Source organism: Homo sapiens, chromosome 2 (assembly GCF_000001405.40).
Source record: "Homo sapiens chromosome 2, GRCh38.p14 Primary Assembly".
NCBI lineage: Eukaryota > Metazoa > Chordata > Mammalia > Primates > Hominidae > Homo > Homo sapiens.
The window spans coordinates 23006235-23011248 of record NC_000002.12 but is presented as its reverse complement, the minus strand read 5'-3'; the positions used below and the strand labels follow the sequence as shown (position 1 = coordinate 23011248).

General features: G+C 44.7%; 1 long non-coding RNA gene across 1 annotated transcript; it reads left to right on the top strand.

Moving 5' to 3' along the window:
- Positions 1-711: 711 nt before the first annotated feature.
- Positions 712-4706, top strand: LOC124908057 (uncharacterized). Its single transcript, XR_007088666.1, has 2 exons — positions 712-2100; positions 2562-4706. It is a non-coding gene; the product is annotated as an uncharacterized LOC124908057 (long non-coding RNA).
- The last annotated feature ends 308 nt before the right edge of the window (positions 4707-5014 follow it).

The following is a 5014-nucleotide window of genomic DNA, read 5'->3' as shown; positions in this document are numbered from 1 at the left end:
ATAGACACACAGACCAATGGGACAAAATAAAGAGCCAAGAAATAAATCTATGCATGTAAGGTTAACTGATTTTCAACAAGAGCACCAAGAGTACAAACTGGTGAAAGAATAGTTTCTTCAATAAATGGTGTTGGGAAAACTGGATCTCCACATGCAAAAGAGTGAAATTGGATCCTTATAACATACACAAAAATGAACTCAAAATGGACTCAAGACTTAAATGTAACACCTGAAAACATAAAACCTCTAGAAGAAAACACAGGAGAAAAGCTCTGTGACAGTGGTCTTGGAAATACATTTTTGGATATAACAGCATGAACACAGGCAACAAAAGCCAAAATAAGCAGAGTTGTGTCAAACTAGGAAGCTTCTGTACAGCAAAGGAAACAATTGGCAAAATGAAAAAAAACTACAGAGTGGCAGAAAATATTTGCAAACTATATATCTGATAAGGGGTTAATATCCAAAATGTATAAGGAACTCATACAACTCAATAGCAAAAAACCAACCAAACAAAATAAGTTAAGTCAATAAAAAATGGGCAAAGGACCTCAACAGCCATTTCTCCAAAAAAGACATGCATCAGTGATCAGGGAAATATAAATAAAAACCACAATGGATATCTCCTCATGCCTATGAAGATGGCTGTTATAAAAAAACAAACAAGAAGATAAGCATTGGCAAGGATGTGTAGAAAAGGGAACCTGGTACACTGTCGATGGGAATGCAAATTGGTATGGCCATTATGGAAAACAGTACAGAGGTTCCTCAACATTAAAAATAGAATCACCATGTGATCCAGCAATACCATTTCTGGGTATTTATTCAAGTCCAATTCTCATCCTGGGCTTTAGTTTCTAAGCATGATGAATGTTAAATGCATGTGATGGGCCAGAATTGCAATTCTACAATCTATGTGAACGATGCCAAACAAACTCTAAAGTATGTCATGTCTATAGTAAACACAATTCTGTTCCCATTGCTCTTGCAAGGTTATAAGCACAAGAGCACCAGGTAAAATCACAGAACAGGCGTTTCCAGGTGCCACGCCCACTATACAAAGTGAGATGGCTGTAATATTTATGGCTGAGGTCCTGGTGGGGAGCCTGTGGAGAAATGCTTCTCCCAGAATAACACTGTGGGCACACAGTTGTGCTTAATGACCACTGATGGGTCGTGATGGGCCCTTCTGTCATCATCACAATACATGTTAAGGGAGGCTTCCGGTTTGTGAGCCTTGCTAGTGTGCAGGGCTACTTTGCTTCTGATGAGCGCTTGTCTCTGAGGCATCTGCAGAGCTTGGTGATCTGCCCAGGAATGAGCTCATACATTCTGCAGATTCCAGGGAACAGACAAGAGCAACAGCATTGAAAGAACCAAGCGAAGGTACCGGCTAGAGTCTCTGATTCTGGGCCAGCCCTCCTGCAGTGTGGCCTGGGCAGTGGATGTCCCCACCAATGGACACAGCTATCTTTAATTTCAAACTTAACCCTGAGTGCACAGGACCTGAACTTTTGTCCTTGGAGGAGGTAAAGCCAAACTCTGGCTAAAGATTGAGAAATTCACAATAAAGAATCCCAGATATGATTTTTTCCCCCTCATTTGAACTTTCAAACATGGTCATAAATCATCCTGGATTTTTCTTCCACAGTCTGCCCTCTTCTGGGAAGGTTTTAAGATGGGGCGGGATTGTGAGCGGATGCTTCCTTACTATAGAGATTGGATGGCTGGGATAACTGGGATCCGGGGTTCATGGGGCCTATAGTCCAAAGTACATTTTACCTAAGCTCAGGGCTGTGACCTGGGGTGGGGGTACTTTCCTCTTTCTTGCCTTGCTGATTATCCATTCTCCTCAGGTGCAGGACCCTGAAGAAGGCATCCATGTCCAATTATGAGCATGCACTATTATCTCATTAGTAAGCACACAAGTCACCCAGGCATCTTTGAACCAGCAGTTCCTTCCCGAGTCAACAGGTCTGGGGCGAGGCCTGGGACCGCATGTCTAACCAACTGTCAGGGGATGCTGATGTTGCTCCAGGGACTACAAACTGCATAAGAAGGGCCCAGGGGATCATGCATAGAGTGATGTTTTGACAAGGCGTAAGTCCCCACTGCTCACCAGCGACTGCAGTGGGAGGAGGAGGGGTCTGTGACGAGAAGGGGCCGCTGTTGGTCTAAGTGGGAAGAGAGCATCCAAGAGAATGGCTGTCTGGGGCCTGTGGAGCATAACCCTGGTGGGCTTCCTTCCACTGACCTTGGCATTGTGCTTTTGTGCCTTTGCTTTTACAAGTTTGGAAGGGCCTCATTGTACCCTGTGATTGAGCTAGGTATTTAAGCTATCTGAGAATATAAGCAAGCTGGCAAAAGGCACCTGATGGAAAAGCCTGCCCCGGGGCAGAGGGGCTGCTATGCATTGTTTGCTCCCTGATGGGCATCTCAGGTCAAAGCCCAGCTCATTCTTGTCCTCTCCTCCTCCAGGGATGCTAAGGAGGGGGATACCTCCACTCTTGGAGAGGCTTGGCTCTTTGCATCCTGACATGTGCGTGTTTTCCATTTTAAAGGAAGAAATGCGTCTTGGCTGAAGGCCCATGTTTTGTCCCAGCACATCCTTTTTACCAAAAGAGCCATCCCTGGAGCTGCCAAGAGTGTTTTCGAGAAAGCCATCCAACAGTACTTTGGATGTGGGAGCATGACCTGACCGTAGACGTGGCCTTCCCCATGCCATGAACCATCCGTCAGACAGCCTGGCACATACTGTTGGTGTCTTTATTTTTACCCCCAAATGTAAAGCTGGATTCTTTCATTCTTTTTTTTCTTTTTTCCAGCTGGGAAAACTCCTGTCAGTGGATGCAGTGTCCTTTCCAGATTCAATATTATGCAAACTGCATATCGGCAAATGGAGTAAACAAATATGTCCATGAAGTTTCTGGATGCACAGAGAGAGGGGCTGTACCAATACACAGGCACAGACCTCCCGATATGCATGGGAATGGCTGAGCACCCTTGGCCAGCCCCATGGCCATCTCCACTGCCATCTCTCTCCTCTGCAACATGTTTGAGCACCTGAGATAGTAGGCCATTCTGCTGCCCAGCAGCAGAGGACAAGAGGTGGCACACACATCTAGGGGTGGCTGTAGGTTAAATTGGAGCTGTCAATGGCTGGGTCTGGGGGGTCCTTTCAGGGAATGAGGGTGAAGTTGCCCCAGCCAGTCCTGTACCTGCTCTAGGCCTGACCCTCTCCCCTTCAGCCCCACCCACAGCTATCAGGCTCCTCAACCACAGGCAAGGCTGTGGGCATTTGTGCTTTTCAGCTCTGTCTTCCCTGCCTGTCAGGTATGGACAGGAGGCATTACCCATACTGAGTCTTCCTGGTAGAGAGAATTTGGCCCAGTCCCTTTCTCATCACAGACTTCAATTTCCAGGCACAGGGAGAGTTAAAGTGTGTGTGACGGACCAAGGCTGGCTTTAGTCCTGCAGTTCTGCAAAGTGTAGGACACTTCTGCACTGTGCTGATCCCAACATGCTCCTATTGCAATAACCCTGGGAGATTAAGTACTTTTTAAAAATTTCCCTTCTAAGCAGATGAGAAAACAGATTTAAAAGGATAAGAGTGGGTTTTTTTGAAAGGCGGGCAGCAAATAATTGGCAAAGCTAGCGTTTAGACCTGGGGCTGTCTTTTAACACAAATCTCATACTTACTTTTTGCAAAATGGTACCATGTTTCCCCAAACACCCCTGCATTCAGAAAACAAACTAACAAACAAACAAACCAAAAAGGGTCAAGGACGTCTAAAAGGTCCATCTTCAAAGCCTGAAATGAAATGTTTATCTATCTGTCCTCCACATTCCACCTCTTCTACCCTGGCTGGCTTGACAGATTTTTCTTGCAGCTTCGGTCCCCTTTGTTTGTGACAGGGGATCTGCCTGCTTTCTTACATGTTTGTTTCTATGGACAGATAGAAATCAGCATGTCCTCTGCTGGTCTATGGTGGGGCAACAGGGCCTTCTCACCATCACCTACCTTGTGGGATCTGGCTTTGCAGAAGCTGTCACTCAAGTAGACTGGCTTCAGTCACTATCAAACATATTGGAAGTCTCAGAATTAAGGAAACAAATATTTGCAGCCATGCTAGTTGGGCTCCTGATAAATAGGCATGTTTGTCTTTATTGTTTTGGAAGCGTGATGAATTCTGAGATGTCAAGAGAAAATGTCCCCAGACTCAATTTCACATCCCAATCAGTGTCCTGTCCCTGGCGCCCAAGGTGTGTGTTGCAGAGCAGATGGTTGTGTTGTGGGGAGACAAGACTGAGATGAAGATGCATAACCCCCTTGCATGGGCAGCTCTGAAGAGTCTCCAGCAGCTCTCGCAGGGGAAATGCTGGGATGGGAGGTTAGTTAGGCCACAGGAGGAACAACTGAGGCCAAAGCTCTATGTGTTTAGTGGATAGACATCTTATTGTGGAGGCTATTGATGAATTGGATATCTGTGATCTGATTTTTAGCACCTAGCATGTATTTGATATTTCATATAGGTCTTTGATTATTAAATTGTAAGTAATTTTAGATCTTTCCCCTTTCCAGAATTTCACCAACTCCATTCTTTTTGAAAGTGGAGACATCAATCAACTAAAATATTCTTTGGCCAATCACTGTGCCCACTCGATGTTCAGATCCAAAGCCAATAAAATCTTTCAAGAATACCCCAGATAATACATGTTGAGGATTATTGTCAGGCTGGCTTATTTGAGTCTCCCTATTTCACCCTAAGACGTCTAAAATAGATGATAGGGACTATCCCAACAGAGTTATACCAATGAAATTATTTACCAAGAAGCAACACTAGTGAAGTGATTAATGGGTGCATTTGGAAAACTTATTTTCCCCATCACATTGCCAAAACTCCTAATCTTTTACATGTCTTATCTGGCTTTCCATGCTAGAATATATGTTGAATATACTTTTACCTCATATTGCCATGCTTGTCCCTTGGAGATGGCTTTTCAACTATTTTTC